The 19,066-nt window shown below is 40.9% G+C and overlaps 2 protein-coding genes and 1 pseudogene across 24 annotated transcripts in view, besides 3 other annotated features; 2 read left to right on the top strand and 1 right to left on the bottom strand.

The window, feature by feature from the left end:
• The window catches only part of IGFL2 (IGF like family member 2), a 136,850-nt gene that overhangs the window by 76,268 nt on the left and 41,516 nt on the right, over window positions 1-19,066 (bottom strand). The window lies entirely within an intron of this gene.
• TGIF1P1 (TGFB induced factor homeobox 1 pseudogene 1) lies at window positions 1,498-2,813 on the top strand (annotated as a pseudogene).
• Window positions 3,793-4,623: an enhancer, noted in NCBI's record as "H3K27ac hESC enhancer chr19:46637729-46638559 (GRCh37/hg19 assembly coordinates)". NCBI's record gives its function as "activates a minimal SCP1, AML or CMV promoter by ChIP-STARR-seq in primed H9 embryonic stem cells {active_cell/tissue: H9 hESC(primed)}" and the evidence as "EXISTENCE:reporter gene assay evidence [ECO:0000049][PMID:30033119]".
• Window positions 4,624-5,455: an enhancer, noted in NCBI's record as "NANOG-H3K27ac hESC enhancer chr19:46636897-46637728 (GRCh37/hg19 assembly coordinates)". NCBI's record gives its function as "activates a minimal SCP1, AML or CMV promoter by ChIP-STARR-seq in naive H9 embryonic stem cells {active_cell/tissue: H9 hESC(naive)}" and the evidence as "EXISTENCE:reporter gene assay evidence [ECO:0000049][PMID:30033119]".
• Window positions 5,456-6,287: an enhancer, noted in NCBI's record as "NANOG-H3K27ac-H3K4me1 hESC enhancer chr19:46636065-46636896 (GRCh37/hg19 assembly coordinates)". NCBI's record gives its function as "activates a minimal SCP1, AML or CMV promoter by ChIP-STARR-seq in naive H9 embryonic stem cells {active_cell/tissue: H9 hESC(naive)}" and the evidence as "EXISTENCE:reporter gene assay evidence [ECO:0000049][PMID:30033119]".
• On the top strand, window positions 14,407-19,028 carry IGFL3 (IGF like family member 3). 2 transcript variants are annotated; one of them, XM_011526953.3, is made up of 4 exons: window positions 14,407-14,470; window positions 14,774-14,827; window positions 14,939-15,209; window positions 18,775-19,028. In XM_011526953.3, exons 1-4 carry the CDS (start codon window positions 14,446-14,448, stop codon window positions 18,884-18,886), a joined length of 462 nt encoding a protein of 153 aa, XP_011525255.1. In that variant the 5' UTR covers window positions 14,407-14,445; the 3' UTR covers window positions 18,887-19,028. The 2 variants fall into 2 exon arrangements, with proteins under 2 accessions (XP_011525255.1, NP_997276.1); NM_207393.2 differs by having other exon boundaries at window positions 18,738-19,028.

Below are 19,066 nucleotides of genomic sequence, written 5' to 3'. Positions count from 1 at the left end.
TAAATAGGCATGGAGTGGCCCACTCTTGCCAGAGACCTCCAGAATCCTAGCTGCAAAAGGTCCCACAGCCCCCATGGACATTTGCGCTGGCAGAGAGAGCTGCTTGGAGAGTTGGCAGGGACAGGACTCTAGCCTGTGTAGAGCCCAGAGAGTCTGGTTTGGAAACAGCTGCAGTGGAGCATGGACAGGGATGCTCATTCTCCAAGGCTCACCTTGCTCCTCTAGGTGGCTTTGGCCTTTCTTGACTGTCAGACCTGGACAGAATAGGACTATCTTGCCTAGGAGATGGGGCCAGTCTGATACGAGTGCCTCTCAGTGTGCTGGCCTCTCCCAAGTTCCCTACCCGCCACATCTGTTTGCAGCAAAGCCTCAGTTGCCAAACTAAGGTGCTTCCCAGGGGCCACTGCCTTAGCCCTTTCACCAGTAGACCCTGTCCAACTATCAGAGAGCCTTTGCAGACAGGTCCCACCAGGATGCACCCAGCCAAAGCCTCCTCTCACCACTTTGCCAGCAAGCACTCACCCACAGCCTCCCCTCAACACTTTGCCAGCATGCACATGCACACAGACATCAATGCTCCCCCACCACCAGCACATGTGTGAGTGAAGATCCCACTGCTGTGACCCAGATGAAGCACTTTTGTCAACACCCCACGTTGGAGTGTTGTTGCTAGCAAATGGGGAACACCTTAGCCCCTCTAGTGCAGTAGGTGTTTAACCCTGAAGATCCAGGGGACAAAGCCATGGGCCTGGTACCAGCTCCCCAGGGTTAGACGATGCAGCCCAGAAGTGCTGAGCTGAGCCTTGGCCCCATGAAATCATCCAGAAATGAAACCAGTTGACTAAACCCAACTTATACCATAGTTAAACCCTCAAGGGCATCAAAGAATGTAAAACCCAAAAGCCCCATCCAAAGGACAGCAACTTCAAAGATTAAAGCAACTTCAGCCCACACAGATGAGAAAAAACCAGCACAAGAACTCTGGCAACTCTAAAAGCCAGAGTGTCTTCTCACCGCCAAATGACTGCACTAGCTTCCCAGCAATGGTTCTTAACCAGACCGAAATGGCTGAAATAACAGACAGAATTCAGAAGCTGCATGGCAATGAAGATAGTCAAGATTTAAGTAGAAAGTCAAAACTCAATCCAAGTTATCTAAAGAATCTACTAAAATGATTCAAGAGCTTAAAGAGTAAACAGCCATTTTAAGAAAGGACCAAATAGATCTCACAGAGGTGAAAAACTGACTACAAGAACTTCATAATATAATCAGAAGTATTCACAACAGAATAGACCAAGCTGAGGAAAGGATCTCAGAGCTCAAAGACTGGTTCTTTGAATCAACTCAGTCAGACAAAAATTTAAAAAAGCATTTTTTAAAATGAAGAAAACCCTCTCCCTGAAGCCGGGGACCAAGGCTGGGCCACACTGGCCGCATAGGTGTCCCCATCCTGGGTCACGCAGGGTCCTGCTCCTCTGCACTGACTCATGGAAACAATGAAAGGTATTGTTGCAGCATCTGGCAGTGAGACGGAGGATGACGATTCCATGGACATTCCCTTGGACCTTCCTTCATCCTCTGGCTCAGGCAAGAGAAGGAGAAGGGGCAACCTGCCCAAGGAGTCTGTGCAGATTCTTCAAGATTGGCTGTATGAGCACCATTACAATGTCCATCCTTCCGAGCAAGAAAAAGCACTGTTGTCCCAGCAAACATATCTGTCTACACTACAGGTCTGTAACTGGTTCATCAACGCCCGCCACAAGCTTCTCAGATAAATGAGCCTACGAAGGAGATAATATTGCATGTGGTGTACGCATCCTGACATGCTGAGAAAGGATGGCAAAGATCCAAATCAGTTCACAATTACCTGCCGTGGGCCCAAGATTTCTGAAACAAGCTCTGTGAAGTTTGTGATGGGCATCAAAAACTTCATGCCAGCTCTAGAGGAGACCCCATTTCATTCCTGTACATCTGGGCCAAACCCAACCCTAGGGAGGCCATTGTCTCCTAAGCCGTCTTCCCCAGGATCAGTTTTGGCTCGTCCATCAGTGATCTGCCATGCCACTGTGACTGCATTGAAAGATGTCCCTTTCTCTGCCAGTCAGTTGGTGTGGGACAAAACACAGATATACAGCAGGTAGCAGCCAACAACTTTACAGACACCTCTCTCATGTGCCCAGAGGACATGTGTAAATCTAGACCAAGTACCAATACACAGAGTAGTCTTTTCAACACTCCTCCCCCTACTCCAATGGATCTCAACCAGGACTTTAGTGGATTTCAGCTTCTAGTGAATGTTGCACTCAAACGGGTTGGAGAGACAGAGCTTCAGCCGAAACTTACAGCTTAACCCATTTTCAAGCAAAACAGTTCTCAGAAATGTCATGATTTCTGGGGTGATGGCAAGAGATGAATTGCATTATTTTATATATTTTTTTATTAATATCTGCACATGGGATTGCTAAAACAGCCTCCTGTTACTGAGATGTCTTCAATGGAATACAGTCATTCCAAGAACTATAAACTCAAAGCTACTGCAGAAACAAAGAGTATTATTTTTTACATGTTTATTGGTAGATTATTCATAATGTGAGATGGCTCCCAATATCATGTGATTTTTTCCCCTTTCCTTCTCCTTTCTTGTTATTTTTTTACACTGTGCAATTCTTAAAGAACCTATAGCATCTTTTCATTCCCATGTGGAACAAGATGCCCACATTCTGCCTATTTAATAGATTTTCAATTCTTGTTCAAACAAGTATGAATCTAGTTAATTGATGAGTTTTTTCATGACATAATATTTTCTTAAAAAAAGAATGAAACCACCAAGAAATCTGGGACTATATAAAGAGACCAAACCTACCACATATTGGCATCCCTGAAGGAGAGGGAGAGAGGGCAAGCAACCTGGAAAACACATTTGAGGATGCTGTCCATGAAACTTTCCCCAACTTTGCTAGAGAGGTTGACATCCAAATCTGGGAAATTCAGATAACTCCTCTGAGATACTATACATGAGGACCATCCCCAAGACACAGTCATCAGATTCTCCAAGGTCAATATAAAGAAAAAATATTAAATGCAGCTAGAAAGTAGGGGAAGGTCTCCTGGAAAGGGAATCCCATTAGGCTAACAGTGGACCTTTCAACAGAAACCCTACAAGCCAGAAAAGACTGAGGGCCTGTATTCAGAATCCTTAAAGAAAAGAAAGTGTTTGCTGCCACACTTTGAAAAATGTTGACATGGGTGAAGTCTGGAAGCCAAGAATTGTTAGATAATTGTCAGCTAATAAACATTTACACAACTGTTACTGGAAAAGAGATACGGAGTCAGGAGTCAAAGGCAGTGGGATGTTTCCACTCAGGGCTGCAAGCCTGTCCAGGAAAGTCTTCCCTTTGAGGTGGAAATTAGTTCTAGATCTACACAGCCACAGAAGACTGGAATGGAGGTCAACTTGCTATTCCTCCAGCATGTTTCTTGCATCAGTGAGGTCCTACCTCCCTCACTGAAGGACCTCAGATCAAAGGTCTCACGAACTTGTGTCCTACTTCAGTGAGGTTCCTGTAGGAAGTGACTGAAACCTTTTATCTAACCCTCTTCTCTCCCCTACACTAAAGGGGATGGTTCGGATGGTTCAGAGCAGGGGTTCTGGCTCTCGGGGGAGATGCAAACAACTCTGACCATGAGTTAAACCCTGTAGTTAATGGATACCAAATAGAGAAATACAGACTCTAAGAAAACACAAAGCACTATCCCAGTTGGGAGGGCACAAAGGAGACATGATCATCAAAAGCAATGTGGGATTCTGGATTGGATCCTGGAGCAGGAAGTGGACATGAGGGGACAACTGATAAAATTAAAATAAAGCCTGTAGATTCATTAATAGTGTTAGTCAATATTCATTTCTTGCTTTCAATAATTGTATTAAGATCATTTAAGATGTTAACATTATGAGAATCTGTGTGAAAGAAAGAAACCAACTGTACAACTTTTTTGTAAGTTTAAAATTATTTCAAGATAGTAGTTAAGAAAATTTTGTAAATGATACCTACAGATATTATCAAGATAGTGACAGTGAATATTCATTAAAGAGATAATCAGGATGCCCAATGATGCTTCCTTGTGCCTAAAACTGCAATTACAGAGCTGCTCCTCTTCTCAGTATTATGCACCTAGGGCTCTCCTTGAGACAGAGAAGAGTCAGGGCTTGGCTTCATCTCACCCCTACTAGAGCAGGGGTCCCCAACCCACAGGCCATGGACTGGTACCAGTGTGTCTGCTTTTAGGAACTGGGCTGCATAGCAGGCAGTAAGCAGTGACTTAGTGGGTGGAGCTTCATCTGTATTTACAGCTGCTCCCCATCACTCACCTTATTGCCTAAGCATAGCCTCCTGTCAGATCAGTAGGAGCATTAGATTCTCATAAGAGCATGAACCCTATTGTGAACTGTGCATGTGAAGTATTTAGGTTGCACACTCCTTATCTAATCTAATACTCCTTATCTAATATGAGAATCTAATGTCTGATGATCTGTCACTGTCTCCTGTCACTCCCAGATGAGACCATCTAGCTGCAGAAGAACAAGCTCAGGGCTCCCACTGATTCTACAGTATGGTGAGTTGCATATGTAATATATAATGTATATTATTTCATTATATATTACAATGTAACAATAATAGACATAAAGTCCACAATTAATGTAATGTGCTTGAATCATCCTGAAACTATCCCCCTCCTCCTTTGTCCATGGAAAAACTGTCTTCCTTGGGAAACCAGTCCCTGGAGCCAAAAAGGTTAGGGACTGCTGTACTACAACATTCCTGCTGATCACAAAACCCACGCCACTACCTCATTGCTAATAGTCCTTTTACTTAAAGAATCCCAAGAACTGGTCTTAGGAGACAACCAAGATTCCAGAAAGAATGTTGAACAACTGATTCACAGCCTTGCTGCCACAGGCCAGACCACCAGGTGGTCTCTTCCTCAAGAAAACCATCCTAAGCAGATACTGCTGACCTGCATACCGTATACCTCTCCTGCTTTGCCCAGCCCAGCCTGCATACCCTACCCCTGATGTCAATTCCCACACTTTGCCTAATAAAAAAAGCCCTACCAGCTCTTTTCAGGGAGTCATCAGGGAATTCTTTCTCTTTTGTGCTGCCTCTCTTATTTCCAGGAATAATCTCCAATGAAGTTTTGTCTGGGAAAACTATTTTGACCTCATGTCAGTTTCTATTGCATTGAGAGCCCAAGAACCCAAGACCAGTAATGTATTATTTAGGGGCTTGCCTGGGATCATGGTGTAGAAAATAAAATAAGTAGAGGTTCCTCTTCAGAGGGACTTTCCTCCCAGTCTAATTGAGAATAGATAGTAACCTCTCTTAGAAGCAAAATTTACTCAAAGACCTGTGCTAATATTCTTAAATATCTGCTAGCCATAATAAAGAAATCAATATACTCTGCGTTCTTAGCTACCGCATTTTAGCCTAGATATTTGCCCTGGCATGCCTGAACAGGCCCAAGCAAGCATTAGGTCATAGCCTATTCCTCTTCCTTATTTGGAAGTGCTTTTGCCTCTCTCAGCATTCCACAAGTTACTTCCTGTCTTCCTTTGTTCTCCTCTGCCTTTGCCTCTTTGGGGAAGTTCTAAGTTGCTAGCCAATCAGGTCAAGTACAGAATGTGAGGTCCCATTCCAGCCAACGGAAGCCAGACACAGCAGTAGGGTGGCATATCAGGTTATAAATGACCCTGTCTCCTTTGTTCGTGTGTGCTCTCATGGCAAGACTGCTAGCAAGCGGCCCTCTTTCTGCAGAAAGTAAACTAGCCTTGCTGAGAGATCCTTTGTCTCAGTGTTGATTTTTGTGACACCGAGCACCCATTCCCAACAATGGGATGTGGGGAGCCTTTCTCTCCCTGAGGGGGAGACTTGTGAGCTGATGGGACTGCTGGACAAGATCCCTTCACGGCTGACAAGCAGCTGCCTGAACTTCTGATTCAGTGTCGCCAAGCTGGTTGAGTCTTTCTCCAGCCTGCCAGCCCTCCTTGCCTCCCCCATCCCTCCTGCAGGCAATGCTTTTCTCCCTTCCCTTCTTGCTTTCTCTCCTTTTCACTTCCTAACTTTTCTGTCACTTAGGGTGCCTTGTCTCTCCTCTCCTAATCCTTAGTGGTTTGGGTCACGTGAACAGATATCTGTGAGGGACAGGTTGAAATCGTTGACTACCTGGATCTGATCAACTCAGCAGGCAGTGGGACAGAGTGTACCTTTTCCCTGGCCTAAGTTGGTTTGGGTTCCAGTCCCAAGAAACAATTCTATCCATCCCTCCCTCCCTTTCTCCCTCCTTCCCTTTCTTCTTCTTTCCTCTCCCTCTCCCTCCCTTTCTCCCTCCTTCCCTTTCTTCTTCTTTCCTCTCCCTCTCCCTCCCTCTCTCCCTCTATCGTTTTCCCTCCCTCTTCCTCTCCTTCTCTCTCCCCTTCTCTGTCATACTGGCCCTCAATCCTGTAACTCTATTCAAAACCCCTCACCACTTCACTTTCTCTTTGCCACACCATGTGAGGAGGGGAAGCCTGTGGACTTTTCTGTCATCTGTCTGTTTGGGTGTGTGAGTCTATCAACTTTGGGTGCTGGCTTTTTAAGGAGAGAACTGACAGCACGTGGAACCAAAGTTTGTGTCACTTATGTCCCAATGAATTGTTTTCTTTCTGTGCATTTAATTCAATATCTTATTTTCCCATGCAACCCACTGGTTGGCCTCTTGTAAAAAGGAGAGACTTTTGCCTATGGTTCCATGAAATGGAAAGGGATCATTTTCTTTTGTAACGTGGCTTGGCCCCCACAGCTATGCCACAGGGAGCAAGGTCACCAAAGTTGCTCAGAAAAAGAGAACCCAAAACCGTAGCATGCCAGCAAAAGGGTAAGAATTTCTTACCAGCCAGGCTTCTGGACTTTCTCTGTGTGTGTGTGAAAACTGGTTAAGTGAATGACAAAATTCACTGTTTCCCTCCTCTGCAAGGCTTTAACCCATTTCCTGTTGGCCAAGAATATTCTTATCTTTAATACTAATGTAAAATCATATACATTTCTGCTACGTTAATACTAGAGACAAGTTCTGTTTAGAAACAACTCCAAGAACAGTTTTGTTTTTGTTGTTGTTGTTTGAGAGGGAGTCTCGCTCTGCTCCCCAGGCTGGAGTGCAGTAGCATAATATTGGCTCACTGCAACCTCCACCTCCTGGGTTCAAGCGACTCTCCCACTTCAGCCTCCCGAGTAGCTGAGACTACAAGCATAGGCCACCATGCCCGGCTAACTTTTGTATTTTTAGTAGAGACAGGGTTTCACCATATTAGCCAGGCTGGTCTTAAACTCCTGGCCTCAAGTGATCTGCCTGCTTCAGCCACCCAAAGTGCTGCGATTACAGGCATGAGCCAAGAAGGGGTTTTTATGTTTTATTTTCACACTGAAAATCAGTCATATTCGCTTCAGCCTCGAAGAGCATGTTTACGTAAAATTAAATGGGTGTTGACAGCAAACTAGACCTAATAAAAAAAGAAGTCGATAAACCTCTGAGACAGAAAGTATTAAAACATTAGAATGCTCATGCTTTCCAAAGCCAAACAATGTTTACAAAAAAATTTCATCTGAATTCCCATTTTTAAATTTTGCTATTTTTTAGGAGGAGGGTTTAGAAAATTACTTGGGAGCTCTTAAAGCTGACTGCACAAATATTGTCGAGTAAAGCTTAATGTAGTGTAATAAGGAGAGAAGTTTTTGTCTATTATTAAAATTTAAAACAAAGCTACTGTAAATGAACCAGACACTACCTAGAAAAATTACACATAAATCAATTGAACAGAGTCCATCAACAGATAAAGCTAATAATGGAAAACTGAGATATAAGAAAAGTAACATTGTACATTAGAAGAAAAGGGATGAAACTAGTCAACAAGTAATTTCAGATTCAATAGGACATTCATTAGCAAGAAAATTAACTTAGACTCAGCATCACATCTTATAGAAAAAGTTATATGTGAATAAAAATGACTAAAAAGAAAGTAAAAATATAGAACTATTCATAGAACTTTAAGTTGGAGATGGCCTCCTTACGTAAGCGGAAGCCAAAAAGTGGAAAGAAGATGTAGGGCAGTGGTAAAAGACACTGCTGCATAAAAATTTAAAATATCTCAAAAAAGAAGACTCCACCAGCATTACTGAGAAACAAACACAAAGGCGAGGAAAACATATAACAGACAAAAGGTTAGTATCTCCCATATAAAAAGAGCATTTATAAATTAATAAGAAGGAAGCAAACAACCCAAAACAATTATTCTGAATAGTGTATCATTTACAGAAAAGGAACTATACATCATTAAACATAAAAATAATGAGAAATACTGGGAACCTTCATCCAAGCTCATAAATTTCTTCTAATCTTAGTTCTTGCTCACTTTATTTTTTAATTTGGAACCTACCAAAGATAATAAATTCCTCTTTTTGCCACAGCTTAAGCTAGTTTAAACTGGCAAGCAACCACTTGCAAGTAACCAGTTTATAAACATAATGAAAAGGTGCTTCCAAGAACCTCAATAAACAGCATGTAGACAAACAAATGCCATATTTTAAATAACATGGTATGTTCTTTAACTCATCATCTGATGCTTGCTGGGGGAACTAAAATATTTATCAAAACTCTAAAGAAGTTATTGCCCTGTGAGATAATGAAAAAGGCTGTTTCATAGGAAACGTGTACTTCACCCACTTAGTTCAGGAGATCATACCCTGTAGTATTTGGTTTAAATAAACAGTGAACCTGAACCCTTGAAACTGCATGCAGTCCATCTCACATGCAATTACACCCACAGGCTCAAAATAAAGGGATGGAGGAAAATCTACCAAGCAAATGGAAAACAGAAAAAAGCAGGAGTTGCAATCCTAATCTCAGATGACTTTAAACCAACAAAGATAAAAAAAGACAAAGAAGGGTATTATGTAATAGTAAAGGGTTCAATTCAACAAGAAGGCCTAACTATCCTAAATACATATGCACCCAACACAAGAGCACCCAGATTCAGAGAGCAAGCTCTTTGAGACCTTCAAAGAGATCTAGACATCCATACAATAATAGTGGGAAACTTCAATACCTCACTGACAGTATTAGACAGATCATCAGGTCAGAAAATTAACAAAGATATTCAGGACCTGAACTCAGCACTGGATCAAATGGGCCTGATAGACATCTGCAGAACTCTCCACACAAAAGCAATAGAATATACATTCTTCTCACCACCACATGGCACACATTGAAAAATCGACCACATAATCAGACACGAAACACTCCTCAGCAAACACAAAAGAACCGAAATCATAACAACCACTCTCTCAGACCATAGCACAATCAAATTAGAAATCAAGACTAAGGAATTTGCTCAAAACCATACAATTACATGGAAATTGAATAACCTGCCCCTGAATGACTTTGGGGTAAATAATGAAATTGAGGCAGAAATCAAGAAGCTATTTGAAACCAATGAGAACAAAGATACAATATACCAGAATCTCTGGAACACAGCTAAGGCAGGAGTAAGAGGGAAATTTATAGTACTAATTGCCCACTTCAGAGAGTCAGAACTCAGCTTCACAACCTAACATCACAACTAAAAGAACTAGAGAACCCAGAGCAAACAAACCCCAAAGCCGGCAGAAGACAAGAAATAATCAAAATCAAAACTGAACTGAAGGAGACAGAGACACACACACACACACACACACACACACACACACACACACACACAAAAGATCAACAAATCCAAGAGTTGGTTTTTTGAAAAAAATTAATAAAATAGATAGAACACTAGCTAGATTAAAAAAGAAGAGGGAAGATCCGAATAAATACCATTAGAAATGTAAAGGGGGATATTATCACTAACCCCACAGAAATAATAACCATCAGAGAATATTATCAACACCTCTATGCACATAAACCAGAAAATCTACAAGAAACTGATATATTTTTGGACATATACACTCCCAAGATTGGACCAGGAAGAGATTCGGTCCCTGAATAGACCAATAACAAGTTCTGAAATTGAATCAGCAATAAATAGCCTACCAACCAAAAAATTTCCAAGACCAGATGGATTCACAGTTGAATTCTACCAGATGTACAAAGAAGAGCTGGTACCATTCCTACTGAAAGTATTCCAAAAAATTGAGAAGGAGGGACTCCTCCCTAACTTATTCTATGAGGCCAGCATCATCCTGATATCAAAACCTGGCAGACACACAACAAGAAAAGAAAGCTTCAGGCCAATATCCTTGATGAACATCAATGCAAAAAATCCTCAAGAAATCCCGGCAAACTGAATCCAGCAGCACATGAAAAGCTAATCCACCATGATCAAGCAGGCTTTATTCCTGGGATGCAAGGTTGGTTCAACATATGCAAATCAATAAATGTGATTCATTGCAGAAACAGAACTAAAGACAAAAACCACATAATTATCTCAGTAGATGCAGAAAAGGCTTTTGAGAAAAATTCAACACCTCTTCATGTTAAAAACTCTCAATAAACTAGGTATTGAAGAAATATACTTCAAAATAACAAGAGCCATCTGTGACAAACTCACAGCCAACATTATACAGAATGGGCAAAAGCTGGAAGAATTCACCTTGAAAACTGGTACAAGATAAGGATGCCCTCTTTCACTGCTCCTATTCAACATAGTATAGGAAGTCCTGGCCAGAGCAATCAAGCAAGAGAAAGAAATAAAGGGCATCTAAATAAAAAGAGAGTACATCAAACTATCCCTGTTTGCAGATGACATGATCCTGTATCTAGAAAACCCTACAGTCTCCACAAAAGCTCCTTCAGCTGATAAGCAACTTCAGCGAAGTTGCAGGATATAAAATCAATGTACAAATGTACATTTTTTGTACAATGTACAAAAATCACTAGCATTCCCATACACCAACAACAGTAAAGCCAAATCAGGACTGCAATTCCCATTCACAATTGCCACAAAAAGAGTAAAATACCTAGGAATATAGCTAACCAGGGAGGTGAAAGATCTCTACAAGGAGAACTACAAAATAATGCTCAAACAAATCAGAGATGACACAAAAAAGTGGGAAAACATTCCATGCTCATGGATAGGAAGAATCAATATTGTTAAAAATGGCCATACTTCCCAAAGTGTTATGGGATCCTTGGGGTGTCGCTTCACCAACCAGAAACTTCTGTGGCCAGTGGCTCCTTTGCTCAAGTAACCAAATACCACCTGTACCCCAATAACTTACGAAAAAATTAAAAGTAGATTTTTTAACATTTTAAAAAAGTAAAATTAGTGACTCTAAAAAAAAAGAAATTGCATGCAGTCTGTCTGTTGTCTATCAATCTAACATCTATCTAATATCCAACCACCCATCCATCCATCATCTATCTATCTACCTACCTACCTATCTACCCACCTACCTACCTACCTATACATCTTACCTATCTACCTATACATCCGTTTAAGAACAATTTTCTGGGAGGATTGATAATTTTCATTAAATCAGCAAAAATTGTCCGGGACCTAAATTATGTTGAAACTTAGTGCCAGACAGAAAGTTATTTCTTCCTTCAAGAAAATTTAGACTAAGAATGATTGCCTATGACCTAAATTGTCAATAGTTCATGGAACAAGATGTGTATATTTTGTTCTTTCTTTCTTATTCTCTTTCTCTCCTTCCTTCCTTCTTCTTTCTTTGCAACAGCATCTCACTCAGTCACCCAGGCTGGATTACAGTGGTGCCATCACAGCTCACCACAGCCTTCCGAGTAGCTGGGACTGCAGGCATGTACCACCATGCCCAACTAATTTTATTTTTGTTTTCTGGTACAGACAGGGTCTCGCTTTGTTGCCCAGGCTGGTCTTGAACTCCTGGCTTTAAGCTGTTCTCCCACCTCAGCCTCCCAAAGTGCCAGGATTACAGGTGTCAGCCACTGTGCCCAGACTATTTTGCAGCTTTCTTAAGAAAGCACAGTTGAGGAGAGAAAATACGAAAAGCTTGACACACTCCAGCTACTGTGCTGGGAGCTTTTCAAGTGTGTCTTCATCTGATCCTCATAAATATACTAAGTTTCAAATTGGAATGACTCTCCTCCACTCAGAGATGTACATATATATTCTACATTCCCATACCCTTGAACTAGTGATGCATCGTATCATCAATAGGGTCTTGCAATAGCTATCAGACAAGCAGAGTGACATAGCTGCTGCCAGTTGTACAGGGACGAACTAAGTCTTCAGGTTAATATTCTTGACACTTCAATTAAGTTGTGTGGATTGCTTATGTTTCATGTGTTGAGTGTAACTGTCATTTTAAATATCAGAAAACACCATGATTTGGCTTGTGTGTTGTGTGTGCAGAATGACACATTAATAGAAGACGATGACGTAAATTTACTGTTAATGAAGCACATGCTCATTGTTTTAGGAATGAACCCAAGTACATATTTTCTTGCAGATCAACAACCAAGTGCTTTATGGGGCACAAGAAGATAAAGAGATGAAGAGTATCACATTTTGTTTCTGAGACAGGCACAGAAGGATTGCCTAGCACAAGGAAAACAACATAATGAAAGGCAGAAGGAGTTGTCAAAATCTCTAGGAATAGATGAAAGAAAATTCAAAGAAAGAAGGGGCTAGTGTCACCAGTTCAATGATAACTTGCAGTATGGGTGTCAGCAGCTTAGAATAAAACCAAACTTTGCATGACCAATGCTGTTGGTAGAACTGAGAATGATGTTGTGTAAGAAAGCACAGGAACCAATCTGGGGTTGAAAGATGATTCACAGGAGGCAGTCTCCAAATGTGGAGACATTTTAAGAAATCTTTAACAGATTTATTTCCCATATATTTTTATTTTTCTATTCGCCTTCCAAAAGTCTACGTCTCAACATGTTGCAAGAAGCTCTGTTAATAAACATTCTAAGTGATGAGATTGCATCTTAGAGTTGCAAAACAACAGTGTATCTTTCAATAACATCTTAGTGTTAATGAGATACAACATAAGGATTTCTCTAAATGATTATCATTATAAAATGCATTAAAAATTATCCCTTCAAGCTGCCCCTTGCCACTTCTGTAAGATGAAAAATTAAGTACACATTAACTTCCCAATGCCCAATAGTAAAGCTGAAGTTTCATTTGGAATAAGAATGATAATTGTATATTAAAGATATTATTATTTGTCCTTTGTATTTTACCTAATCAAACTCAAACGTTTCTTTTTAACATTTGGTAGTAAACAAGCTGACAGCCTGGGCTCACTAGGAATCTTCACATTGTTGGCCTTCTTAGGTTCCGGGGTAGGGGAGAGCAGCCTTGTGCATCCAAACCACACCCCACACCTCCGCACATGTACAGGAAGCTAAGAATGAAGCTCAGAAAAGGAGAACCATTTCAAAGGCTATGGTACAGGCTGGATGAACTTAAGTCAGCAACTCTTCCCTATGCTGTGCCAGCAAGTGGAGGATGGAAAGTCTGGCCAATCCTTAGACATTTTCTGATTGAATCATCACACATCCATGAAGACTGAGGTCCTTTCCACAGCTTCGGGATTATTTGAATTTGTCCAAGCCCTTCCCTAGCTGGCACTTGCCTGGCAGGCCTCAGTTTGCCCTGCCCTTCCCTCTGTCTGCACACCTAAGTACTACACACTCCTAAGTACTACATCACTTATCATTGGCCACTAATATAATATGATTATGAAAAGCAGGTGTTTAGTACTTTCCCTGACCATGTAACTAAGATGCTGGAGGTCTCTGAATCCTCACACCAAGCACACCAGGAGATTTGGGCCATTGCTATTCTCCACCCCTACCCCCTTTATTGGAGTTTCCAGAGCCGTGGCTCAACTGCTAGAGCAGGTGGCAACTCTAATGACTCCAGAGCAAAAAATAAAGTGGCTTCATAAACGGTCCCCTTGACATTTCCAGAGACATCGTGCTTGGGGAATATAGAAGAAGCAAGTATTAGGAAGGGGAGGATGTGAAACCAGATGGGGAAGTGGCTGAAGCATTCTCTCTGATTGGAGCTTAGTTGGGCACTGTCTCCTCAATGTCGGAGCTTGAAAACTCTTAGAAGCCTAACTTGGAGTAGGACCAACCTACACTCATTCACCCTGAGGTCTGCAATAGTATATGGAGAATGCAATGAGTCAGTCTGCAACATTCGGCTCTGTGGTCCCTTACGCCACCCAGTCTCCTCCTTAAAGAAACTAATGAATGTGCTTGGGAGACTTTGGTTATCTTCAAGGAATGTGCTTGGGAGACTGCAGGTGGCATGATCAGCAGCCATCCAATCAGTAAACTTACCAGGTTAACAGACAACCCCATTTAGGCTGTCTCCATAAGTTCCAGCCTTTTACCACTCTTCTTCAATTCTCCTAGAGCATCTTTGGAAGCATGAGGCCACGATGCTGCATCTTGGGCAAGTAGGACCCCAAATCCAAACATCATCTCATCTCATTCCCAGTGCAGCTCCCAAACCTCAACCCGATTTATTCCTCTTTATCTCTAACATTATTCCAGCCTCCTGTGCCCTACTAGTCACCTCAAAGGGTGACTGAGCGTGCTGCTCAGGGCCTGCCTGAACGGGATCCCATACAGACTTAGCCCCAAGTGATAATCTCCACCTTTAAACCACCCTAACCTCTGTTTGTTTGTTTGTTTGTTTTTTCCATACTTGTCACATTCTCAGCTCCATGTTCAACCTTTTTCCTTTCTCCCTTAGCTCTTGTCTGCTGGATAACAGTCTTCCTCCTCCAGTGTTCAAAAGGAACTACAGGTAAGGACAGGACAGGGAAAAATGAGGAGGGAAGAGGTGGTGTTGGGAAAAGAGACTGGGAATTGAGTATCTGTTCTTCCTTGGATGTACACCATCAATGTCTGCCCCCAGACGCTCCTGTTGGCTCAGGACTGTGGCTGTGCCAGCCGACACCCAGGTGTGGGAACAAGATCTACAACCCTTCAGAGCAGTGCTGTTATGATGATGCCATCTTATCCTTAAAGGAGACCCGCCGCTGTGGCTCCACCTGCACCTTCTGGCCCTGCTTTGAGCTCTGCTGTCCCGAGTCTTTTGGCCCCCAGCAGAAGTTTCTTGTGAAGTTGAGGGTTCTGGGTATGAAGTCTCAGTGTCACTTATCTCCCATCTCCCGGAGCTGTACCAGGTAAAGGTCCCTACCTTGCTCTTAACTAAAGGAATGAGGGAGGGATGAGGGATACAGAGGGCTTGAAGAGGAACTCCTGTTTGTGGAGTTCTAACGGCAAAAGAGTCAGGCTGGTGGCAGCAGGGGAAAGCAAAAAGAAGAAGCAGATAAGCTATAAGTCTGCCTTTCTTCATGGTCGAGGACAAACAGTCCTCCTGCATAAATAACTCACAATCTTCTTGCACCCAGCTATCACCAGACACTCAGCTGGTAGAAAAATGCAAGCAGTGCAGTTGCCTTCCTGATGTAAAAAAACATGCTAAATAATCCAGTGTCAGGAAGACAAAGATGTTTTGCTTCTCTGAAGAAGCTTATAATAATATACAGTATATGTATATGCAGGGAACAATTGGTCAAAAGTGGCTTTTTTGTTTCCCCAAGGGGAAAGACTGGCTTTGTAATTATAATTTTTTCCTTACTTTACTTAAAACTGGTAGAGTCTAAGTATTGTATGAAGTGTCCATGATTCTGTCAGTAAATTTGAGCATATTTTTATTAGTTAATGTCAGTTTAAGTAGTCCTTTTGTTTCTATTTTTAAGATGAATTTTAAATTCTATCTGAAATCAGTAAGATACCTGGAGAAAAACTGCAGTGAGAGGAGGTCAGTATCCTTTTTCAGGAGGAACTGATATCTCTGGCTAAATATCTGTCCTTTTATTATGGTTTCTAAATCGGTTATTTTCTTCAGCTTTAAGTTCATAAAATTAAAAAAACTATTAAAAAATTCCTGTAGCTGTTGGAATAATTAAAAATTCTGGTGCAGTGGTGGTATACCAATCTTTAGAATTCTTAAGTAATCTAATGTTTCAAGTTGAGGTCATGCTTGGGAAAATCATGTCATAGCATTTACATTATTTTCAAATGTCATTTTTTTTACCCTGGAAAGAAGTAATAATGTTCATCATAACCCTAGCAGTCTGGATAGTGAGCTAAACAAACCCTTGGAAGATTACATTTTAATCAAGTAGACTAGGAATACAAAAAACAAGTCCTTCCTCCCCTTCCTCCCACCTTTACAATCTTACTGGAAGGGTGTTCAGAAATTAAAATTTGTGTTTGCTAAGACTTTATTCTGTTGGGGGTTTTAAGAGGTAATACGTGTAATGTAAAATGTATGTAAACCATTGCAGTTTTTTGGGGCATTTTTCCATGCAACAGTAAGTTGTCTGACAGTAACCGAATGTAACTTACAGAAAGTAATTAAAAGTTATATTCAGAATAACAGCAATCAGGCCTTGGATGTTCTTTATTAAACTCTTTTCAGGCAGTAAACTTTACCAAAAAAATCTGTCATTTTCTAAAGTCCTTGTGCTAAAACTGTTGACTATGGAAAACAAACAACAAAAAGGAATGTTTTTAGTCTGCTGCTATTATTAACATTTATTATCTGTATCTTTTGGCTCAGGAAATGACTTCACCTATTTGTTCCATAAGCTGATCTTTAACAGGGTCAGCTAGCTAACTAGGCTGTGTAAACAGATGTGCTGGGAGAAAATTATAATATTTAGTATTTGTCCTAAATATCAAAAATATTTTGACAAGTTTCTTTTTAAGATAGTTTCTAAAACCTTACCCTGGCTAAAGATGTTTTGTGCAAATTATATATAGCCTGCCTGATCTACCAACATGGCACAGAGAATCACAATCAACAATGTGGGGAAAGTCAGGGCAATGGAAGTGGATGTACACTTTTTATTTTGAGGGCTTCAACCAAATTGTCTTGGAATTAAAGGTGTATTTCTGCAGCTTTCAGTACAGAGAAAAAGAAGAAAGTGAAGCTGTGTCAGTTTTAACATTAGCTATATCACAGCATGTTTTAAAAAGATAGATGAAGTCATTTGCATAAAGGTACAGCATTGAAATACTATGTTGTGTTTGTTTTTACATTTTTACATTTTAAAAATGCAGTAAAAGCCAAGTTAAATTTCATTAAAAAAGAAATATGCAAATCAGCTCACTGCAACCTTACCATTATCAGTACTCTAAGTAGCTCTCTCCAGCACAAGCACCAACCTATAAAATCCCCAGCAAGCCTTTGTCTCTTTGCAGTCAGCTCCGCACTTGCTGTTTTGCCTTTGCTTTCTTGCAACAATTTTTCTACGTTTTCTAAAAAATCTGCCTTTCTTTACCTACATTTTCTAAAAAATCTGCCTTTCTTTACAACTGTCTTGGTGAATTCTTTTTACTACTCACGTGACACTAACCTCAGATAGTCGTCACGTGCGACACCGTTGTTTTATCTCTGGCTAATTCTGACATCTTTCCTCTCTTCTTGTCTTTGTCTCATAATTCCTCAATTTTTCTTTCTCCACAGCTGAGAGAAAATACTACTCCTCTCAGTGGGCTGTTGAGATGCATCTTGGGAAGATGCTCAGGCTATGAGTGTTGGAGTAAGTAGGATGGGAGGAAAATCTTAGAAATTTTCTTTTCTTCTTCTTTTTTTTTTTTTTTCAAGACAGGATCTCACTTTGTCACCCAGGCTGGAGTGCAGTGGCATGATCTCAGTTCACTGCAGCTGCAGCCTCAACCTCCTGGGCTCAAGTGATCGTCCTACCTCGGTCTCCTGAGTAGCTGGGACTACATGCACATGCCACCACATCTGGCTAACTTTGGTTTTTTGGTTTTTTTTTGGTAGAGACAGGTTTTCATTATGTTACCCAGATTGGATTCAAACCCCTGAGCTCAAGCAATTTGCCTGCCTTGACCTCCCAAAGTGCTGGGACTATAGGAGTGAGCCACCACTATAGTGGTGCCTGGAACTTTCTAAGCGCTGAAAAATGTACATGTTCCATCAAATATGTATCTTGAAATGCAAATAAATTATTTTAAAAAGGGCTACAAGTTGGATATGAATTAAAAATAAACCTAAGGCTTCTTAAGTTTATTTTTTAATTTTTTAATTTAAATTGACAAATTATAGTTGTATTTATGGGGTACAGCATGACTGATGAATTCAATGTGGAATAATTAAACTCAAGGAAATTAACATATCTATTACCTTCAATATTTCTCATTTTTCTGTGGTAAGAACACTTGAAATTTACTCTCTTAATAGTTTTGAAATATACATTTTTTTACTATATGCATCATGCTATGCAATAACCAAATTATAGAAGTTTATAATATCTGTATCTCCTTGGTAAATTTCTCATTCATATCCCAAACTGAATTTCTGATATCTCTGTATTGGTTTTCAGATTTCTATTGCATTGCATTTTCTTTAAGATCAATATTTTTAATTCTTTATCTGGCATTTTGAGGAATTCTTTGTTATTGGGATCTGTTGCTGGAAAATTGTTATGATCTTTCATGTGGTGTCCTATCTTCCTGCTTTTTCATGGTGACTGTGTCCTTCTGTTGATATCTACACATCTGGTGTAGCAGTCAAGTCTGTTAAAGTCAAGTTTGTTAAAATTGCTTTTGTAGGGGATAATTTTTTCCTGAGAATATATGTTGTTAAGACACTTTGATTTGGGGCACTGTGATAGGAACAGGAGGCACGTCCTGTACCCATAAAAACCCCAGGCTCCACTGGCAGACGGCAGACAAGGGGAGAAGAGACGAAGCAGCTGGACATCGGAGACTACAGTTGAACTTCGGAGAGAAGCAACTTGACTTCAGAGGGATGGCTCAATGACATAGCTTTGGAGAGGAGCCCAGCTGGGGATGGCCAGACTTCAGGGGAAGAATGCCTTCCTGCTTCATCCCCTTTCCAGCTCCCCTTCCCGCTGAGAGCCACTTTCATCGGCAATAAAATCCCCCACATTTACCATCTTCAATTCGTTCATGCAACCTGATTCTTCCTGGACACTGAGCA

This window comes from Homo sapiens, chromosome 19 (genome assembly GCF_000001405.40).
Source record: "Homo sapiens chromosome 19, GRCh38.p14 Primary Assembly".
In the NCBI taxonomy this organism is placed as follows: Eukaryota; Metazoa; Chordata; class Mammalia; order Primates; family Hominidae; genus Homo; species Homo sapiens.
This window is presented reverse-complemented; position numbering and strand designations above follow the sequence as displayed.